The following is a 22,479-nucleotide window of genomic DNA, read 5'->3' on the forward strand; positions in this document are numbered from 1 at the left end:
GTTCCCCTTCCTGTGTCCAAGTGTTCTCATTGTTCAATTACCACCTATGAGTGAGAACATGTGGTGTTTGGTTTTCTGTCCTTGTGATAGTTTGCTCAGAATGATGGTTTCCAGCTTCATCCATGTTGCTACAAAGGACATGAACGCATCCTTTTTTATGGCTTCATAGTATTCCATGATGTATATGTGCCACATTTCCTTAATCCAGTCTATCATTGATGGACATTTGGGTTGGTTCCAAGTCTTTGTTATTATGAATAGTGCTACAATAAACATAGGTGTGCATGTGTCTTTATAGCAGCATGATTTATAATCCTTTGGGTATATACCTAGTAATGGGATGGCTGGGTCAAATGGTATTTCTGGTTCTAGATCCTTGAGGAATCGCCACACTGACTTCCACAATGGTTGAACTAGTTTACAGTCCCACCAACAGTGTAAAAGTGTTCCAATTTCTCCACATCCTCTCCAGCACCTGTTGTTTCCTGACTTTTTAATGATCACCATTCTAACTGGTATGAGATGGTATCTCATTGTGGTTTTGATTTGCATTTCTCTAATGACCAGTGATGATGAGCATTTTTTTCATGTGTCTGCTGGCTGCATCAATGTCTTCTTTTGAAAAGCGTCTATTCATATCATTTGCCCACTTTTCGATGGAGTTGTTTGATTTTTTCTTGTAAATTTGTTTAAGTTCTTTGTAGATTCTGGATATTAGCCCTTCGTTAGATGGGTAGATTGCAAAAATTTTCTCCCATTCTGTAGGTTGCCTGTTCACTCTGATGGTAGTTTCTTTTGCTGTGTAGAAGCTCTTTAGTTCCATTAGATCCCATTTGTTTATTTTGGCTTTTGTTGCCATTGCTCTTGGTGTTTTAGTCATGAAATCCTTGCCCATCAGCAATGTATTTTCATAATTTGAATTAATTTAAGGTTAAATTATGATAAATGACATCTTCAAAATGTGTTTGGTCATAAAAGCTAATGCTTATTGGAGCATACTCTCTATGACACACCTTCTAGTGTTTGACATGCATGCATTTCATTCTTATAACACCCTTGGATGTTAGTACTATTGTCAGCATCATCCCAGTTTTAGATTGGGAAATCAGACACAGAGTCGTAAAGTAACTTGACCAAGTTTGGTGAGCTGGGATTTCCACCCAAATGCTTCCCCCCAAGAGCTCTGGTCCTGCCCACAGAGCCTCAGGCCACCATAGGGATAGGGTGTCCAGCCATCGAGCTTGAGAAAGAAGACTCTCTGCAGTGCTCTAACTTACCACAATCATCTTTGTCTTTTGCTTGGTTTTAATTATGATAGATTAGACATATTGATTTTATATCTGCAGAGTATAAAGTAGGTAGAGTATTAAATAGTGTACTGAAGAAATATTCACAAATTCAGGGGTTTGGAAAAATACTGAGACATTTTAACAAAATCTTCCAGTGGCTTCTTCTGAACCACATCTTTAGAACGCCATATGTCTTTATAGAATACATTTCAAGCCCCAAATTGACTTTCAAGTGAGAGCTGATCCCTGCTTAATATTCTTTAAATGAGCTTTTCTGAAGGGAACACTGCTCCAGGAATACATAAAGGACTATACCTTCAGTGAAATAACTATGAGAAATAATCTCCTGTGAACAGTGAGAAACTATATGAATCAGTGGAGGAGGTGTCCACAGGCAGGAAACGTTGCTGGGCGGCAAGCCCAGAGCATCAATACCTGGATGCCTGTGAAAATGGAGAGGAGTTTATTTGGGGAAATATATAAGTTAATTTTTCTTACAAAGTTTCATAATAAAATATTCAAAGAGTGATTCGTCTGGCAGCTACTAGTTTCCTATAACAAAAGCTTAAGTTTGCTGAATTGAAATTGCCCAATAAAAAATCTTAACAGTTGCCTTCAAAATAATTAACCCTAGGATTGTAGGTCTAGGTGCTTGCTTATAAATATTATACACATTCACACACACCCACACATATACACGTTCACACATAACCCAGTTTTACAAAAGTACAGTATTTTAGTGCATGAGACAATCTAATATGCCTCCCATCACCAAATTCCAAGAGTTGTCTTTGACTTACAAAGTGGTGTTTGAGGGTTCATGGATGTAGAATAGGCAGAGAAAATCAGCATTAATTGAGTCCTGGCAAGTAATATGAAAGATTCTTTATAGATTCTATTTGTTTATATCTTCTAAGAAAACAGGTGGCAAGAACTTATTATCCCAATTTTACTGGTTAAAAAAATTACAACTCAGAAATATTTGCATTTATAACATTTCTTCTTAGATTTTTTTCAAGTGACACACATATATATTCACACTTAACAATGGGGATATATTTTCAGAAATGTGTCATAGTCTATTTCATCATTGTGCAGACATCATAGAGTGCACTTCCACAAACCTAGATGGCATAGCCTACTACACACCTAGGCTATATGGTCTAGATTATTGCTCCTAGGCTATAAGCCTGTACAGCAGGTCACTGTGCTGAATACAGTAAGCCATAGGTATTTGCATACAGAAACATATCCAAACCTAGAAAAGATACAGGAAAAATGTGGCATAAGAGATAAAAAATGGCACACCTCTATAGGGCACTTACCATGAGTGGAGTTTGCAGGACTGAAAGTTGCTCTGTGAGTTATTGAGTGAGTGGTGAGTGAATGTGAAGGCTTAGGACATTACCATACACTACTGGAGACTTTATAAACTCTGTACACTTAGGCTACACTAAAGTTATAAATATTTTCCTTCAATAATAAATTAATCTTAGCTTTCTGCAACCTTTTACATTATAACCTTTTTAATTTTTTAACTTTTCGACTCTTTTGTAATAGCACTTATGTTAAAACACAAACACATTGGACAGCTGTACAAAAATATTTTCTTTCTTTATATCCTTAATCTATAAGCTTTTTTATATTTGAAAAAATTACCTTCTTTTCACATTTTAAACTTTTTTTGTTAAAAGTTTAGGACACAAATACATGTTAGCCTAGTCTACACAGGGTTAGGGTCATGAATATCACCGTCTTTCACTCCACATCTTGTCCTGCTGTAAGGCATTTAGGGGCAATAACAGGCATGGGACTGTCATGTCATGTGACAACAAGGCCTTCTTTTGGATACCTCCTGAAGGACTTGCCTGAGATTGTTTTACAATTTTTTTTTAAATAAGTACATGGAGTACACTTTAAAATGATGATGAAAGTATAGTAAATAGATAAACCAGTAGCACAGTTGTTTTTTTCATTATGAAATATTATGTACTGTACATAACTGTATGTGTTATACTTTTATACAACTCATAGTGCAGTAGGTTTGTTTACACCAGCATCACCACAAACACATAGCACAAACGTGCTATAATATTAGAATGGCTATGACATCGCTAGGCAATACAGATTTTTCAGATCTATTATAAACTTATGGGAACACCATCATGTATGTGGTTTGTCCTTGACCAAGGCATCATTATGCTATACATGACTGTGAATAAATTCTACTACTGTTCTATACCTCAAGCCTGCAGTCCTTACCTCTTCACTTACTTCTCTGGGGGAGGGTGAAGAACTGGACACTTCTTTGGGAGCTGTCATCTAAGCAATTTGGAAATTTCAGAGAGGCAGAGGAAAGAAAGGACATAGCAAAGCAAGAACAACTCTGCAATGGTCTAGCCAATTAGTTCTACCCCAGTTGTGGGAGTGGGAGGAAACATTTCTCCTTTTGGTCTTGAGATTTTTTTTTTTCTGAATGGATAGGTATTTCTATTTTTATTGTTTTTATTTATTTTTTCTTTTCAACTTTAATTTTAGGTTCGGGGGTGCATGTACAGGTTTGTTACGTGAGTAAATTGTGTGTCACTTGGGTTTAGTGTCAAATGATTTCATCACCCAGGCAATAAGCATAGTACATGATAGATAGTTTTTCAGTTTTCACCATCTCCCCATTTTCCATCCTCAAGTAGGCCCTTGTGTCTTTGTTCCCTTTTTTGTGTTCATGTATACTCAATGTTTAGCTCCCACTTACAAGTGAGAACATGTGACATGCAGTATTTGGTTTCCTGTTCCTGCATTAATTTGCTTAGGATATGGTTTCCAGGTCCATCCATGTTGCTACAAAGAACATAACCTTGTTCTTTCTTATGGCTGTGTAGTATTCCATGGCATATATGTACCACATTTTCTGTATCCAGTATACCATTGATGGGCATTTAGGTTGATTCCATGTCTTTGCTATTGTGAATAGTGCTGCAAATGAATGTACACATGCATGTGTCTTTATGATAGAATAATTTATGTTCCTTTGGGTATATACCCAGTAATGGGATTGCTGGGTTTAATTGTAGTTTGTTTTAAGTTCTTTGAGAAATCTCCAAACTGCTTTCCATAGTGGCTGAACTAATTTGCATTTCCACCAGCAGTTTATGAGTGATCCCTTTTTTTCTCACAACCTCACCACCATCTGTTATTTTTTCACTTTTAAATAATAGCCTTTCTGACTAGTGTGAGATGGTATCTCATTGTGGTTTTGATTTGCGTTTCTCTAATGATTAGTGATGTTGAGCATTTTTTCATATGCCTATTGGCTGATTTACATTTTATTTTGAAAATTTTCTGTTCATGTCCTTTGCCCACTTCTTAATGGGGTTGTTTGTTTTTTGCGTGTTAATTTGTATGAGTATCTTATAGACTCCAGATATTAGAGCTATGTTAGCTGCAGTTCACAAACATTTCTTCTCATTCTGCAGATTGTCTATTTACTCTGTTGATAGTTTCTTTTGCTCTGCAGAAGCTCTTTAGTTAGGTCCCACTTGTCAATTTTTGTTTTTGTTTTAATTGCTTTTGACATCTGGATCGTGAAATCTTTGCCGCAACCTATGTCCAGAGTGGTATTTCCTAAGTTTTCTTTTAGGATTTTCATAGTTTTAGGCTTTACATTTAAGTCTTTAACCCACCTTGAGTTTATTTTGCTATATAGTGTAAGATAGGGGCCCAGTTTCAATCTTCTGCATAAGGCTAGCCAGTTATCACAGCACCATTTATTGAACAAGGAGTCCTTCCTCCATTGCTTGTTTCTGTCAACTTTGTTGAAGATCAGATAGTTGTAGGTATGCAGATTTATTTCTGGGTTCTCTAACCATTACCATTGGTCAATATGTCTGTTTTTGTATCAGTACTGTGCTGTTTCAGTTACTGTAACTTTGCAGTATAGTTTGGAGTCAGGTCGTGTGATACCTTCAGTTTTGTTCTTTTTGTTTAGAATTGCTTTGGCTATTTGGGCTCTTTTTTAGTTTGACCTTAATTTTAAAATAGCTTTTTCTAACTGTGAAAAATGTCTTTGTTAGTTTGACAGGAATAGCATTGAATCTAAATTGTTTTTTTAGTATGTCCATTTTAAAAATGTTGATTCTCCCTATCTATGAGCATGGAATACTTTTTTATTTGGGTAATCTCTAATTTCTTTAAGCAGTATTGTGTCATTCTCATTGTACAGATATCTCACCTCCCTTGTTAGCTGTATTCCTAGGTATTTTATTCTTATCATGATTATTGTAAATAGTATTGTGTTCTTGGTTTGGCTCTCAGCTTGGATGTTCTTGATGTATGGAAGAGTTACTGATTTTTCTACATTGGTTTTGTATCCTGAAACTTTGATGAAGTTGTTTCCCAGTTCTAGGAGCCTTTGGATAGAGACTATGGGGTTTTATAGGTATAAAATCACATCATCTGAGAAGATAGAAAATTTGACTTCCTCTCTTCTTATCTGGATGCCTTTTATTTCTTTCTTTTGCCAGATTATTCTTGCTTGGACTTCCAGTACTACTTTGAATAAGAGTGGTGAGAGTGAGCATCCTGGTCTTGTTACAGTTCCCAAGAAGAATGCTTCCAGATTTTGCCCTTTCAGTATGATGTTGGCTGTTGGTGTCATAGATGGCTCATATTATTTTGCATTATGTTTTATGGATACCTAGTGCATTGAGGGTTTTAAACATAAAGGGATGTTTAACTTTATCAAAAGCCTTTTCTCTGCATCTATTGAGATGACCAGGTGGTTTTTGTTTTCAGTTCTGTTTATGTGGTGAATCGTATTTATTGATTTGTGTATATAGAATCAACCTTATATACCAGAAATAAAGCCTACTTGGTCATGGTGGATTAGCTTTTTGATCTACTGCTGGAATCTATTTGCTTGTATTTTGTTGAGGATTTTTTAATCTATGTTCTTAAGGAATATTGACCCAAAGTTTCCTTTTTGTGTTGTCTCTGCCAGGTTTTGGTATCAGGATGATGCTGGCTGCCTAGAAGGAGTTACAGAAGAGTTCTCCTTCTCAATTTTTTGGAATAGTTTCAGTAGCAATGCTACCAGCTCTTCTCTGTATGTCTGGTAGAATTCAACTGTAAATCTCTCTGGTCCAGGGCTTTTTCTGGTTAGTAGGCTTTTTATTACTGATTCAACTTTGGAACACCTTATTGGTCTGTTCAGGATTTCACTGGCTTCCTGGTTCAGTCTGGGGAGGGTGTATGTTTACAGGAATTTATTAATTTCTTCTAGGTTTTCTAGTTTTTGTGCATAGAGGTATTTATAATAGTCTCAAAGGAGGTTTTTTGTATTTATATGGGGTCGATGATAATGGCCCCTTTGTCATTTCTTATTGTGTATATTTGAATCGAACTGGTTTTTTCTTTAATAGTCTAGCTAGCAGTCTACCTATCTTATTCAGTCTTTCAGAAAACCAACTTTTTGTTTTATTGATCTTTTGTATGGTTTTTTGCATCCCAATTTCATTCAGTTTGGCTATGGTTTTGGTTATTTCTTTTCTTCTGGTAGTTTTGATGTTGGTTTGCTCTTGTTTTTCTAACTTCTGTAGGTGTGATGTTAGGTTGTTAATTTGAGATGTTTCTTTTTGATGTGGGTGTTTACTGCTGAAAACTTTCCTCTTAACACTGCTTTAGCTGTGCGTCAGAGATTCTGGTATGTTGTATCTTTGTTGTCATTAGTTTCAAAGAATTTCTGGATTTCTACCTTAATTTCATTGTTTATCCAAAGGTCATTCAGTAGCGGGTTGTTTAATTTCCGTGTAATTGTATGGTTTTCGAGAGATCTTCTTATTATTGATTTCTATTTTTATTATGCTGTAGTTCAAGAATGTGGTTAGTATGATTTCAGTTTTTTTGAGTTTGTTAAAAATTATTTTATTGCTGATTGTGTGACTGATTTTAGAGTATGTGCCATGTGCAGATGAGAAAAAAATGTATATTGTGTTGTTGGGTGGAGTGTTCTGTAGGTATCTCTTAGGCCCATTAGAATAATTAAGTATTCTTGTTGAACTGGACTCTTTAACACTATGTAATGCTCTTCTTTGTCTTTTTTGATCTGTTTAAAATCTGTTTTATCTGAAATTAGAATAACAATCCCTGCCTTTTTTTGTTTTCTAACGCTTAGTAGATTTTTCTCCATCTCTTTACTTTGATCCTATGGGTGTCATTGCATGTGAGATGGGTCTGTCAAAGACAGCACACTGTTGGGTCTTGCTTTTTTATCCAACTTGCCACTCTGTGAGTTTTAAATGGGGCATTAGCACATTTACATTCAAGGTTAATATTGATATATGTGGATTTGATCCTGTCATTATGTTGTTAACTGTTTATTATACAGACTTGATAGTGTAGTTGCTTTATAGTATCAATGGCCTCTATACTTAAGTGTGTTTTTGTGGTGGCCAGTAGTCATTTCCATGTTTAGCACTCCCTTCATAACCTCTTGTAAGGCAGGTCTGGTGATAATGAATTCCCTTAGCATTTGCTTTCTGAAAAGGATCTTATTTCTCTTTAGCTTATGAAGCTTATTTTGGCTGGATATGAAATTCTTAGCTGGAATTTCATTTCTTTGAATGCTGAATATAGGCCCCCAAATCTCTTCTAGCTTGTAGGCTTTTTGCTGAAAGATCTGCCTCTTCTCTCTAGCTACATTTAATATTTTTTTCTTTCATTTCAACCTTTGAGAATCTGATGACTATATGTGTTGGGGATGGTCATCTTGTATAGTATCTCACATGGGTTCTCTGCATTTCCTGAATTTAAATGTCAATCTCTCTAGCAAGATTGTGGAAATTTTAGTGGTCAATATCCTCAAATATGTTTTCCAAGTTGCTTGCCCTCTCTCCCTCTCTTTCAAGAATGCCAATCAGTTGGAGTTTTGGTCTCTTTCATAATCCCATATTTCTCAGAGGTTTCATTCATTCTTTTTTATTCTTTTTTCCTTATCTTTGTCTGACTGAGTTAATTCAGAGAACCAGTCTTCTAGCTCTGAGATTCTTTCCTCAGCTTGGTCTATTCTGCTGTTAATACTTGAGATTGTATTGTGAAATTTTAGTAGTAAATTTTTCAGCTCTATCAGATCAGTTTGTTTTTTTCTTAAAATTGATATTTCACCTTTTAGTTCTTGTATCATTTTATTGGATTCCTTAGAGTGCTTTGATTCAGTTTTGACTTTCTCCTGAATCTCAGTTATCTTCATTTGTATCCAGATTCTAAATTCTATGTCTGTAACTTCAGCCACTTTAGCCTGGTTAAGAACCATTGCTGGAAAGCTAATGCAGTCATTTGTAAGTAAAAACACACTTTGGTTTTTTGAGTTGCCAGAGTTCTTGCACTGCTTCTTTTTCATCTGTGTTGGCTGATATTCCTTTAATCTTTGAAGTTGCTGTCTTTTGGATGGGGCTTTGGCTTTTATATTCTTTGATGGCTTGAGAGTTTGACTGTGGTATAAGTTGGGTTTAGTTGACTGGCTTCATTTCTGGAACATTTTAGGGGGCCAAGACTCAACTCAGTATTCCCGGCCTATAGCTCTAATTCTGGAGGACTGGAACTAGGTCCACAACTTTGTTCTGTGGCCCCTTGAGGCTAAGCAAATTTGCACTGGTGGAATTGAGACATTCCTCGTCCACTTTGCCTGGGGGATGTTGGCCAAAGTGCTTCATCAGGGCAGCGGTAGTGGGGTCCATGCTTGCCCATGTGTGCCAGCAGTGACAGCAGCACAGTAGGGCACATGCATTGGTGGGGGTGGGTGGTGGCAGGGTGTGCACACAACCATGCTGGCAGGTGCAGGGCTGCAGTGGCAAAGTCTGTGCATACGCACACCAGTGGCAACAGCGAAGTGGGTTCTGCACATGTTCATGCACCAGGAAAGTGGTGGATGGGGTGCTGTGAATGAGTAATCACCAGCAAACTGGTAGAAGGAGGCTGTGTGTGTGTGTGTTTGTGTGTGTGTGTGTGTGTGTCAGTGAGGGCCTCTCTCCTGAAGCTCTCCAATGGTTAGGTAGGGTCTGCCAGTGAAGGAACGATAGCAGTGGCCCCTGGGAAGCACCCTGTTTGGCCATCCAAGGCTATGCTGTAAGGTGGCGCAGCCAGGCAGGGACCCCAGGAGAGGCCAGCAGACAGTGGGCTGCTGAGGTCAGACTGGCTTCATGCTATGGAAAAGACAACCCTGCTCTTTCAAGGCCCAACAGTCAACAAAAGCCAAAGCCACCTAGAGAAGTGTGAGTGTGGCAAGACTTGGGGATGGGAGCACCTGGTCTTGCCCCACTGTAGCCATTCTCATGCCAAACCCCCTGGCCTCCAGACAGGCTGGAGTCTTGTCCCTGCCACCTCTCCAAGCAACTCGCTCTGTCAGCTCAAATGTCTGTGGGGGTTATGGGGTCTCCTGCAGCTAGGATTGTGAAGGTCTATGGTGAGAGTGAGCCATATCTCTCGTATTTAACTCATCCCTTCTCCTGAAGTTGTTGGGGGCCAGGAACAAATCCTGGTGTTTGGCAAACCCATGCAGAGTTCCCAGATTCCTCCCTCTTCAGCCAAGGGTCTGCATATGCTCTTTGTCCCCTCTCAATTCATCTGTCCAAAGATCTGCTCGGAGTGTGCTAGTCTTCTTGATGGTCTGTTTTTTCAGTGGGAGATGCTTTTCCTGGCTGCATCTCATTGGCCAGCTTGGCTCCCAGCAATGAGATTTTTATTTCCATTTATTTTTAAATTCAGCATTGAAATCAAGGTCATATAAATTTCACAATTTCCTTCATAATAAATTCATGTTTGTTTTTACATGTATATTCCTCCAAAGAGCAAAAAAGCAAACTTCCTCATGCTCTTGACACCTGCTGAGCTGTGCCATGCCTCCCCCCACTGGCCGTTTTGCCTTCTCTCATATCCTCTTAAGCTTGCGTTTTCTCCCATGGAGAAGCAGAGATCCAGGTAGCAGATCTTCCAGTGTAGGAAGCTTTTAAAGAGCCATGCTCATGTTTATCAAGAATTTTCATTTAAGAATAACAAAAATTGTTACAGTAATGTAGAATGTTAACCTGAAAAATTACCTGACCTCAATCTGTGTTTGCTAGACTCACATTATTATAAAAATATGATTAGTTTATAGCTCTATAAAAATAATTCATTATACTCACCCAGTTTTCTGAGAATTTTAGGAGTCTGCTCATAAGTTAGACAGAGATTCATCTACTTAACTTGAATACTTAGAGATAATTATCTTTTAAAAGTTTAGCAAAGCAGAATAAAACCCAGTTTCAAAACATAAAAGTAGAAATAGTTGAACTTCCCTAAAGCATTATTAAGTATTGTTGGGGATAGATGGGAAGTATGAATCAATTTGAAAGCTTTTAATATTTAGACCAGATTATGGGGTCATTTTTAACCAACTAGAGGTTTAAAAAAGCACAAAATTTATTTATATAAAATAAAAAGTATGCAGTGCTTTGTTCAAAAGAATCTACATGTTGATTCATCACCATAGTCATTATATATGTAGATATATATGTAAAACATCTCCCTTTGAGAAAGCAGCACGTGAAACATAAATACAAACTTGTGAAATATTAAGAAAACTCTAGCTGCTGAGATATTATTTGCTATGGTAGCAATGAGAAACAAGTTATTTCTGAGGTAAAAATCTATGATACGTATGAAATTGAATTGATTCCTTTCATAATATACTGTATTTTGAATCAGAGTGATGGTTTATGTATATGTCTTTCATTTTACATGAAAGACAGTATAGATAGGAGACATAATGAGAATGGTGTTAATGGAATAAAGGAAAAGACAGGAAAGGTAAAGTGTGAGCCCTCATGTAGGACAGAGATTTTCAAACTTTGGCATGTAGTGAAATCAACAAATAGCTTGTTAGAACCCACATTGCCAGGCACCCCCACTCCAGCCACAAAGATTTTACTTCATTGGGTTTACTGATGCAACTCAACAGTTCGAACTCTTAATAGGTTCCCAGGTGGCACTGACGCTGTTGGTTTAGGGTTCACACTTTGAGAGACATTGATGTAGGAGGGTTTGAAATATTTCAGCAAAGTTGATACCAGGCTATCATGAAGCTTGGTGAAACAGATTCCTCTGCTTCTGTGGCTATAAAAATGCTCATTTAGGATTTTTCTAAATGAAAATATATAATTCCTAATAAACTAAAACTACCTTCACATTGTTTCTTTTTCAAACATGGTCTGATTCACATTGCTGTTTGCTATTTATTTTTACTCAAATAAGCCTTCCTACAGAACTCTGTCACTGCAAATAGTCTCAATTCGCCATTAGCTAACATTCCATCTGAGATGAATCAGAGCTAGAAGAATGATTATTTCACAATAAATGCCTTTGGGTCCAATTTTTATGTAACTTTATATACTTATACAGCAAATCCCCTCCTCATGTGTCAATGGTCTGAGTAGACCTCATGTCCAATCCAGAATTAATCCCAATTCTGGATTATTTTAGGGTAGCTCTATGCATTAATTGGCATAAACTTCCTTTCTCCTAAGCCAATCACTGTGGTAGGAAGAATGGAGTTACTGCTCTCTCTGAACTACATTACTGCTATGCAATAACATAGGCTTTGAAAGAATATTGGTGTACTGTCTCAGGCTGGCTTTCTCAGATGCTTGCCCAAGACAAAGATTTGTATGCACATGATTTATTAATTATCTCAACAAGACAGGAAAGAGAAAGAAGCTAGCCTTGTATAACTGCAGGCAACGATCCCAGGATTGCAGTGTCAGCATGAACCATGGGGGAAGCTCTGGAAGGAAAATGAGCTCTCAGGGTAATCCTGACCTGAGATAAGACAGCTGGGCTTTCCTGCTTCTCTGTCATCCTTCAGCCTGAGGCTCAGGCTGCCCCCAAAGGATGGAGGCTGAGCTCAGTCCCATAGAAACAGTAAGATCTAAGGAGGTATGTGCAGGACAACAGCGGTATTCACTACAGGGTGACAACCAGACTCTGCCACACCAAGATTAAGAGATTTTATTTTATCTAATATGTCAGCACATCCTGCCAAACATGTGCAAAGAGGGAAAAATGGGACAGAGAGAATGGATAGTTCCTGAATTTGAAAAATGCTGGACTAAATAAAGTTAAATCGAAGACATTCTGCAGGTCTTTTATGAGCCTTTACTATATTAATGGCTGTTGTGAGTCAAACCACAAAATTGTTTTTATAAGACTGTCTCTCGGGTGTATCTTCTGTGAGACAGACTTTGGAAAAGCTGCTGTGAGTAAGGGGTTGTCAAAGGTTTGTAGAGCAGCATAATCAGATCAGGATTTATGGCGTGAAGTAAAAAGGGATGGAGAAAAGGAGCACTAAGACAACAAGATCACTTTGCTTCTGCAAAAGAACAAATGAAATATAATTAAATCATGAAATAAGCAAGTTGTATAGAAAACAAAGGAGGAAATGAACTAGACTATCTAATAGTTAGAATTGTCATAACTATGAAGGCTGTGAGGCACTAAAGAAGTTGGAGATCCCAAGGTCATTGGCTCAAGTGACTCCACAGCTAGTGAGGCCTTTAATGATGATGGAGAATTGATGAGGAGGACAATTCGGGGAGGCAAGATTAAAGTTTGAAAACTACATGGAGATGTGTGGTAGACAACTAACACTAAAGGTGTGGATTTTGGATTTACCAGCTTTGGGCTGTGACTTAGTCGGCTTGGGCTGCCATAACCAAACACCACAGACTAAATGGCTTAAACAACATAAATTTATTTTCTTAAATTTCTGGAGGCTGGAAGTCCAAGATCAAGGTGTTAGCATCATCAGTTCCTGGTGAGACCCACCTCCTTGGCTTGCAAACAATCACCTGCTCACTTGTCCTCACATGACTTTTTTTGTGGAAAAAGACTCTTCCTCTTCTTGTAAGGACACTAGTCCTATCATGTTAAGACCCTCATCAATCACTTTTAACATGATCGATTACTCTTTCAGTATCTTATTTAACATTAATTTCTTCACTATCTCCAAATACAGTCACATTGAGAGAATGGCTTCAAAATATAATCTTTTGGGAGATAGGAGAAACAATTCAGGTCTTAACTGAAAATAAATTCAGTGCTAGTTGGAGCCTAAAGAACTAGGAAGTTGACTAGACTGAGAATTGACTGAGAATGGGACTCAGGGGGCCTCCAACCTTTGTAAGACAAGGGGGATAAAGGAGAGCCAGACCTATCAACTCTCAGAGCTAGCAGACTTGAGAAAACCATGTTCACTGCTCTGTACTTCTGTTGCTTCACCTGTAAAAAGGAGCTAATGATTGTTTTTGTTTATGGAGCTTTTATGAAAATAATATATGAGTTAGGGCCCAGTTGGGAGACAGAACACATGCAATGTTTACAACCACAAAGTGTAATATAAGGAATTATTAACAGAAGATTTGCTTATGAGGAGTTGCCTGTTGAGAATTAAAGAGAATACTAAGGAACCTAGGAGCCACAGATGGAAGGAGCAGGCATGATTTCCAGGGCTGACATGAAACACCCAGGGAAGATCTCCTCATGGCCATCGTAGCTGAACTCCAGATGGTGGAGAATGCATGGCCGTGACTCACTGATGGCTCAGAAATCACTCAGGTGTCTCACAGTTGGTAATTGCTGGAAGTCTCTCCTCTGGAGTGCTGGAGAGACTTTCCACAGAGGGATGTACATGCCTCAGAACCTGTTAGGTGCTGGGAGACGCTGTTGGCCATTGGGCACTGCTATTTCAGGCTGGCACAGAACTCTGCGTGGTTTGGTTTAGGATGGCTCTGAGCTAGCTGTCTGGGAAAAAGGTTGGGGCTGGCATACAATGAGTACTCGGTAAATGTTAGCTATTTGCTCCTACTATGGTTCCTACTGGTACTCCTGCTACTGTTGCAGAGTAGTTAAAAACTAGACCTTTACAGCCTGGCAAACCTGGGCTCACATCCCTTATATGCCATTTATTAGCTGCAGGATAGTGGACAAGTGACTTAATCACCTTAAGACTCAATTTCACCGTCTGTGAAATGGCATTAATAATAGTATTTATCTCCTGGGTTTGCTGAGAGCAGTAAATAGGAACATAAAGGTGAACTGCCTTATACAGTAGCAAGCAAGTAGTAATAGATTTCCTTAAGTGGCTTTTAAAATGTTTTAAATAAATATTAGTTCACTTTCTCTCCATAGAATGTTCTTGACATTAAGTATAAAACTGAAAGAAAGAATATGGTGAGACAGTAAATAAATAAGTTAAATGAATGAAAGCTAAGTGACTTTTAATATAGTGATTATTCCATCTTATCTGTGTGTTGAGTCTGAATCTACCAGATTAATTTTAACTGGATGCCTTCTTTATTGAGTGTACACCACAGAGAAGAATTCTAATTCAATTCAGAAGTTCTGAGACAGTAAATTCTCCAAGTGGCAGGTCAACAGCAAATGTATGGATCATTCTGCCCTTTCAAACTCTCACATCAATACTAGTACGTAAGACTCTGCAGTTCCATGTAGAATTGAAATTACCAAATCATGCAGAATAAACTAACAGGCATCTTCTGCATGAGTCAATTAAGACCTTAAATGAGAACATAGTATCTTCTTTCTAGCCTCAGTGATTACATTTTTAATTACCACATATTTTCAGGCACGTCATGGAATTTGACGACTGATAGATTTGGTAAATTCTTCCTGGCTGCTATGGCTGGGAATTAAATTCCAGTTCACATAATTGTGTTTGTTGTTGTTGGTCCATTATGGATATCTACTACAACTGATAAACTCTCTAATCTCAGCTCCACTTGGCACAATGTGGACAAGTCCAAAAAAGAGAGACTTGTTATTGTCAAAAGCAATGAGTTTAAGTGAAACCTGTGACTAGTCACAAAGACCATATCCTTTGAGAGAATAGTCAGAGACTTTCAACAGCAATGTTATATTAGTCTAGCTCAATTACCATTCTCTAGCTTAGTGACAGAAATAATAAATTTCAGAATCTCAAGATATTACTACCCCAGGACAGTAGTTCCTTGAATTCCTTATTCACTGTGCTTTGATTTCATTTTGTGTAGCTAGTGCTTATAAATAAGTGATTTCAATATGTGAGATTTCATCTGACCTATCCAAATATCTGGGGAAAAAAAATAAAAAGAAGTCCGTAAGATTCTGTTTGTTTCATAATTGCTGTGGTCTCCTCTTTGATATTTCAAGCAGATTATTTGCAAACAAGTAGAAATCTCCATGCTAAATAGTCATCCAAACAAGGTTTAAAGTCACTGGCAGGAACTCCATTGCAAAACAGTTCCTAAAAATAAAAAAAAAAAAAGCCCAGATAGAATAAAATAAGAAATTTTCACCATTATATATTGGTAGCATTAGGAAACATGGCAGAAAAATAATTTTTTAAAATTTTCTTGTAAGAACAATGTTAATATTTGGTATTAGATGTTGCGTTGTTCACTAAGAATCTAATATAAAATAAACCATATATGATCAATTATAGATGTTTAGGTTATAAATGCACATATATTTATCATCCATAATTGATTCATGTATTACTATAATATTCCAGCATCTGCTAAATTTAGGCTTATTATTTCACCTTCTTTTTTTTAACAGCTTTGGAAATAACGTTTATGTTTCCTATGTGCAACGTATACTGGTGTTTTCTTTTTTAAAAAAACTATTTCCACAGGCTTTTGGGGAAGAGGTGGTATTTGATTGTGTGAGTAAGTTCTTTAGTGGTGATTACTGAGATTTTGGTGCACCCATCACCCAAGTAGGGTACACTGTACCTAATGTGTAGTCTTTTATCCCTCACCTGCCTCCCACCCTTTCCCCCACTCCCCAAAATCCATTGTATCATTCATATGCCTTTGCATCCTCATAGCTTAGCTCCCACTTATGAGTGAAAACATACGGCGTTTGGTTTTCCATTCCTGATTACTTTCACTTTCATTATATACTGTATCTCAATGGTTTATCATCTATATAAATGGACTTTAAAATGTGCAGCTTTATTCTACAGGTTGAACATCTCTCATTTGAAAATCTGAAATCCTAATTGCTCCAGAATCCATAGTATTTTGAGTGTGTACGTGATACTCAAAGGAAATGCTCACTGAAACAGGTCGGATTTTGGATTTTCAGATTAAGGATGTTTAACTGGTAAGTATAATGCAAATATTTCAAAATCTGAAAAAACATCTGAAATCTGAAACACTTCTGGTCCCAAGCATTTAGGATAAGGGATATTCAGGCTGTATCCTATTTTGACATAAACTAATATGTTTTTCTGGCATTTTAAAGATAGCAACACATCTTTCACCATCCTTCCATTGAAGAATGGATCAGTTTTTCATCCCCTTGAATCTAGGCTGAACTGTGACTGTTTTGTTGTATATATTACAGAGGAAATGATGCCACACCAGTTCAGGATTTACCCTTTAAAAGGATTGGCAGCTTTCAGCTCAGTCTCTTGGAGCCCTGAGCTGTCTTAGAAGAAGGCTGACTATTCCTATGGGAGAGACCACACAGAAACTAAAAATACTTGGAAGAGGAGAGGGGCTCAGTTGAGCCCAACCTTCCAGCCAACTCCAGCAGGGTGGCAAGTATGAGAGTGAGGATATCTTGGAGCCTCAGCAACCTGTGCTATCCAATAGCTATCAGCCACATGTGACTACTGAGCACTCAAAATGTGAGTAATTTAAATTGAGATATACTATAAGAGTAAAATAGATACTGGATTTCCTTTTTTTCTTTTCTTTCTTTCTTTCTTTCTTTCTTTCTTTTTTTTTTTTTTTTTTTTTTTTTTTTTTATTTCTGAAACGGAGTTTTGCTCTTGTTGCCCAGGCTGGAGTGCAATGGCACGATCTCAGCTCACTGCAACCTCTGCCTTCCAGGTTCAAGTGATTCTCCTGCCTCAGCCTCCCAAGTAGCTGGGATTACAGGCATGTGCCACCTAATCCCAAAATATCCCCGGCTAATTTTGTATTTTTTAGTAGAGACAGGGTTTCTCCATGTTGCTCAGGCTGGTCTTGAACTCTGGACCTCAACTGATCCTCCCGCCTCAGCATCCCAAAGTGCTGGGATTACAGGCATGAGCCACCATGCCTGGCCACATATTGGATTTCTAAAAATATGTTTAAAAATCTCATTAAGAATTTTATATTATGTTTAAATAATATTTTAGATATATTGTATTAAAATAGGCTATTAAAATAATTCCACTTAAAATTTTTATATTTGGTTATTAGAAAATTTAAAATTACTCTTTCTCTATGTATATATGTTTGCATAATTGGACAGCGCGGCTCTCAACCATCCCAACCACCAGCTGAAAACCCGGTGATTTCAGTCGGTATTACTTGAGCCATTCAGCTGAGCTGTTTCTGAATTCTTGACACACAGAATCTGTGAGATAAAATAAAACAGTATTGTTTTAAGCTATTAAGTTTTGGAGTAGTTTCTTACACAGAAATAGGTAACTGAATGACATACATAAAAATATTAAGTAATTCACAGAAATTATGCTCAACCTCTTAGAATTTAGAAGAAAGAAATGTGCTTGGCCCAAGCAACATTTTCACAGTCATGGTTAATAAATTATAATATAATGCCTGATTTTTTCCTAAATTAATTATTTGTAGCAAGTATGGAGTCTTAAATTTATTGATTTAAGATTTTGTCTTTGATAAAAAAACTCTTTCTTTAACTACTGAAGAGAACACATAGGAAAAGAAATAAACTGTAGAAAATTAAAACCAATATTTTAATTGGTTCTGTTCATTTTATCAGGGAACAGAAACAGGAGATCCCAGTGCTTCATTATTAGTTACATTGTTTGCATTAACATTTGCAATAATCAATTGAAATGTCAAAAATAATCTTTATCCAGGATTCTTAAATCAGAAAAATCCAGATTAACTATTAGGAATACTATTTTCTGGCTAGGGAATATTGAGTAAATAACATAGCTTCTATGAATCCATTTTCTTATCCACATAATAGAAATGACAACACATTAATTATCTATTGAATTATTGTGAGGATTAGGGGAGCTAACATATGTAAAGCACTTATTTCAGGGCCTGGCACAGGGTAAATGCTCTGAAAGTGAGAGATTTAATAATAATGCATAGGGTAATTACATATGAAAGACTGAAATAGTAGAGTTGCCCTGTCTCAAAAAAATTACATACTTGGTTATGGCATAATTATTGTAACCCTAGTTGTTGTGGAAATGTTATAAACTTGGCTACCTCTTACCTATCTCTTGATTACACAGGTGGAGCATCCTGCATGATTCTATAGCACTCAACAGGTGTCTGCCAAGCGGACAGACTACAGACCCCTCTGGCCGCATGATGCTGAGCTTCCCCTTGGACACATGAAGATTAAGTTAGTCAAGCATGGAGATTCCTCCCTCTCCTTCACAAACTCCAGATGTTTGGCATCTCCCCAATATCCTAAGACCTCCTGGACTGGGAACAAAATGAGCGTAGTGAAAGAGGAAGCAGCTTTAGAGAAAGCACCACAGGGAACAAACCAATAAAAAAGCAGGAAACTCAGCACAAGCCTGATTTATGTCACTGCACTTCTCTACTCTCAGCCCCATTCCCCCAAACTCCCAGCAAGCACACAAGCACACACAGGCACACACATGCACATGCGCACACACACATGCACATACACAACACACACACACACACATGCCTTCTGCCAGCAGCTCTCTTTCTCACTCTCACTTTTCTTTTCAAATGCTGGCATTTGAAAAAATCCCCTATTTTGTTTCACCCTCCTTTTCTGCCTCCCTAAAGAGCTTCCGAAGAGGAGTTTTGATGGTGCATCTGAGTGTTAATAGATTCGGGAGTGTGAAGCTGTTGCCTGAATCTCATTCCCTGAGAGTGCCTTTCTCTTTTTAATAGCTGAGAAAGAATTGATCAAGCCTCTGTTTTAGTCTCTGTTTCTAAACAGAAAGAAAGAAAGAAAAAGGAAGGAAGGAAACAAGGAAGGAAGGACATACAACGTAAAAACAAAAACATTTTTACGACGATCCCTTTTTCAACAGCTAGGGGCAATCCAGTGTGTTCAGTTGTGTTAGTTCTGTGTCTGTCAGGAGAAAAAGCCATGTAGAAGTGATGATTTAGTTTTCTTGGTGGGAACACAAGGGAAGCTAGTTGAAAGCAATGGTTGTGGGGTCTTGAATGGACAGGCAAGTCCGGTAGTCAGAAGAAGATTTTGATTAGAAACAGAGGAATTTCTTCCAGGAAAATACATTGTCTTCATGACAAACCAAAAATACACCAAATGTTCTGAAAACTGCCCTTTAAAAAGAAAGAACAGATTGTTCAATTGAAACACTTTCCTGAAGCCAATTGTTGCAGGCTGCCAGCCACCTTCAGTACCAGCCACCCCTCCGTCCTCCCCAGGGCCGGTATAAGGGGTGCATGAGAGACACGTGCATGCAGAAGACTCCACCATGATGCCTGGCTCCCATTGCACTGTCCCAGAGCGGCGTAGTGGCAGCTGGGGTTAGTGCTATCTGTCATGAAAGGGCATTCTACTCCGGTTGGCAGAGAACACTCACACACGGGGAAGCTGAGCCATCAGTGCAGGAGTTAATTCCCGTTTGCAATAATACTAAGGATGTCGCATTCATATATACTCAATGAGCACTAAAGGAATCATAGGAATATGCTCTCACAGGAGATAATGTAGCCACAGTAGATAAAGGAGGATGTCCTGGAAGAAGGGGAACCTTTTTTAAGCCAAGGGAGAAAACCACTGAAAAGTAAATCTTTGCATGTAGCTGTGCAGCTCTGCAGATCTAAAATCTGTGCTTTTTAAAAGTATACTCTGTGGAGTAGCAGTCCACATCAAAAGGTCACAGTTTAAAAGTTTTGTATTGTGCTTGGGTTATCCCTTAAGATGTTAGTTATATCATCACAAAAGAACAAGAGTAAACTGTAATTTACTATTTTTGGAGTATTTTTTTGTTGTTAGGCATTTGAAGGATGAGGTGCACAGTGCCCAAGAGTATGTCACAGCGGCAATTTCCACTTTATGCAGAATTAATACTCAATTACTTATCTGCTTACCTGGACCTTGAGTGAATAATAGATTCCTAATAAAGGGTTTTTGAGCAAATGGACAAATTGGATGCATTTATGTTATAGCAGCCACAACAGCAAAAGAAAATCAAACACTTACAAAACAGAAGTCAATCAAGTTTTAACTAGAGGAGACACCAAAGTATCATACAGTGGAGGAAAAATTCAAATGTTCTGCGCCAAGCTCCTATCATGCCAATTGTACATGTTTGTGCGTATGTAGGGTAGCTAGGGTTGGATGTGTAATCATCCCTAAAATTCATTTGGTGAAGAAAAATACATTTTATTTGAAATCATTGTCTATTTTTATTCCTGCCAATATTTTGTATAACATAGAAGTCTGCCCCAGAGTGTAAATAAATAATGAGGAAGGTCACAGATCTAAATATACTATCTTGGTTCAATAATAAAAAGAGAATTTTTTCCTCGTAAGATTATTTTTTTCTTTGTGAACTTTGTATTAATTTAGGATTTAGGCGAATAATACATTGAATAGCAACTTTTCATATTCCTATAAATTGTGATATGCAGCTTCATAATATATAGTCAATAACCGAGCATCACTCTGTAGGTGGGGGGAAATGCTTTTTACCATAACCACGGAAGATACATTATGTCTCTCTGAAACCACGGAAACTTTCTAGCTGCTGAAAGCTGTTGGCACGATGCAATGCACCTTAGCAATGGAAGCATCCCCTCTGCCCCCTCCTGCTGAGACCCAGCAAAGGCCATCTGCTAATTGTTCTTGTCTTTGGAGTTCCTCCTGTGACCTGCAAAGAAGGTTCTCCATCCATATATCAATCTCTCTCTAACCCACATTTTCTGATTTCTCTGGTGCAGCCAGAATGGTCCCAGGAGAGCTCTAACACACTACATATCTGATGCTTAAAAAAGACCTCTTCATTACATGGCTTCAATAATGGTGGGCTAAAGGGAGCCCAGGCACCCTGTCCCATGCTCAGGTGAGTTAGAGAATGCTCCTAGGAGGATACTCCACATGCTGCGTAAACCTGGGAAGCTCAGGGCTTAAGCCTCAGAACAGCTCTAGACATCCTGAGAAAGGCTGAGAAGACACAAGCCAAAACAAGCATGAAGTCATCTTCAAATTTTTTACTTCTAAAAGAGAAAGTATCTCTTTCTCTTTCTTTAAACAGGCTATTACAGTGCTGTACTATTTGTTTTTTTACCACACGCACACAAATATTGCCCATATCTAAATATACATCTTGCCCAAACACACAAGAAATGGAGCTAAAGTTTCTTTTTAGCAAATTACAGGCTCTAGCTATCTATGACTAAGTCCAGGGAGATCAGGTTGCTGCATCACGAGGCAGCTTTTTCCCTTTGCATGCCAGTGTGCTGGGTGGTATGTGCTGTGTGTACAAAAGGAGACTCTTTGATGCTACGAACACTGGTCTCTGTGCTCTGGCATCAATGTCTCTCTCCTGGCCTTGGGAGAACTCCATGCCATACGGTGTGCTGCTCCCCTGGGCTCTGAGCATAGGGCTATGGTTATGACAAGGGAAAATATTAACAAGCATTGCAAGGTGATGACAACGTTACAGAAGGCAGAGGGTTTTGAATGTGGTGGTGACAGATGGTTGTCTAAAAACCCCTGAAGGAATCAGAAAATATCCATAGACCCTTGGCTCCCTAAAGTCTTCCCTTGAGGGTCTTTGTGGAGACCTGTTTTTCTCACTCCTTCATTACCCATTTTTAATTTGACATAATTTCTGCCAATTTCCTTTCCTAGCACTGCATCGTGCAATACAGTAGCCATTAACCACACGTGGCTATTTCAATTTCAATTGAAATCAATTAAAAATAAATAAAATTTAACTTCAGCTCAACCACACTAACCATATTTCAACTGTTTAATAGCTAATGCTGCTACTAACAACAGTATGGACAATAGAGATTAACACTATTCTAGAATAAGACTCCCCATTTCCACAGCTTCAGTTATGACGCATGCTGGAATCACTGGGGACTCATGTCTTCTGGCATTCTTGATCTTCCATCTGTAGTCTCTGTCTTTCTTCATTTTCACACTT

At 37.9% G+C, this 22,479-nt stretch overlaps 1 long non-coding RNA gene across 1 annotated transcript; it reads left to right on the forward strand.

Moving 5' to 3' along the window:
* The first annotated feature begins 16,808 nt into the window (after positions 1-16,808).
* LINC03018 (long intergenic non-protein coding RNA 3018) lies at positions 16,809-20,857 on the forward strand. Its single transcript, NR_134276.1, has 2 exons — positions 16,809-17,010; positions 18,601-20,857. It is a non-coding gene; the product is annotated as a long intergenic non-protein coding RNA 3018 (long non-coding RNA).
* Positions 20,858-22,479: the final 1,622 nt, after the last annotated feature.

This window comes from Homo sapiens, chromosome 8, assembly GCF_000001405.40.
Source record: "Homo sapiens chromosome 8, GRCh38.p14 Primary Assembly".
NCBI lineage: Eukaryota > Metazoa > Chordata > Mammalia > Primates > Hominidae > Homo > Homo sapiens.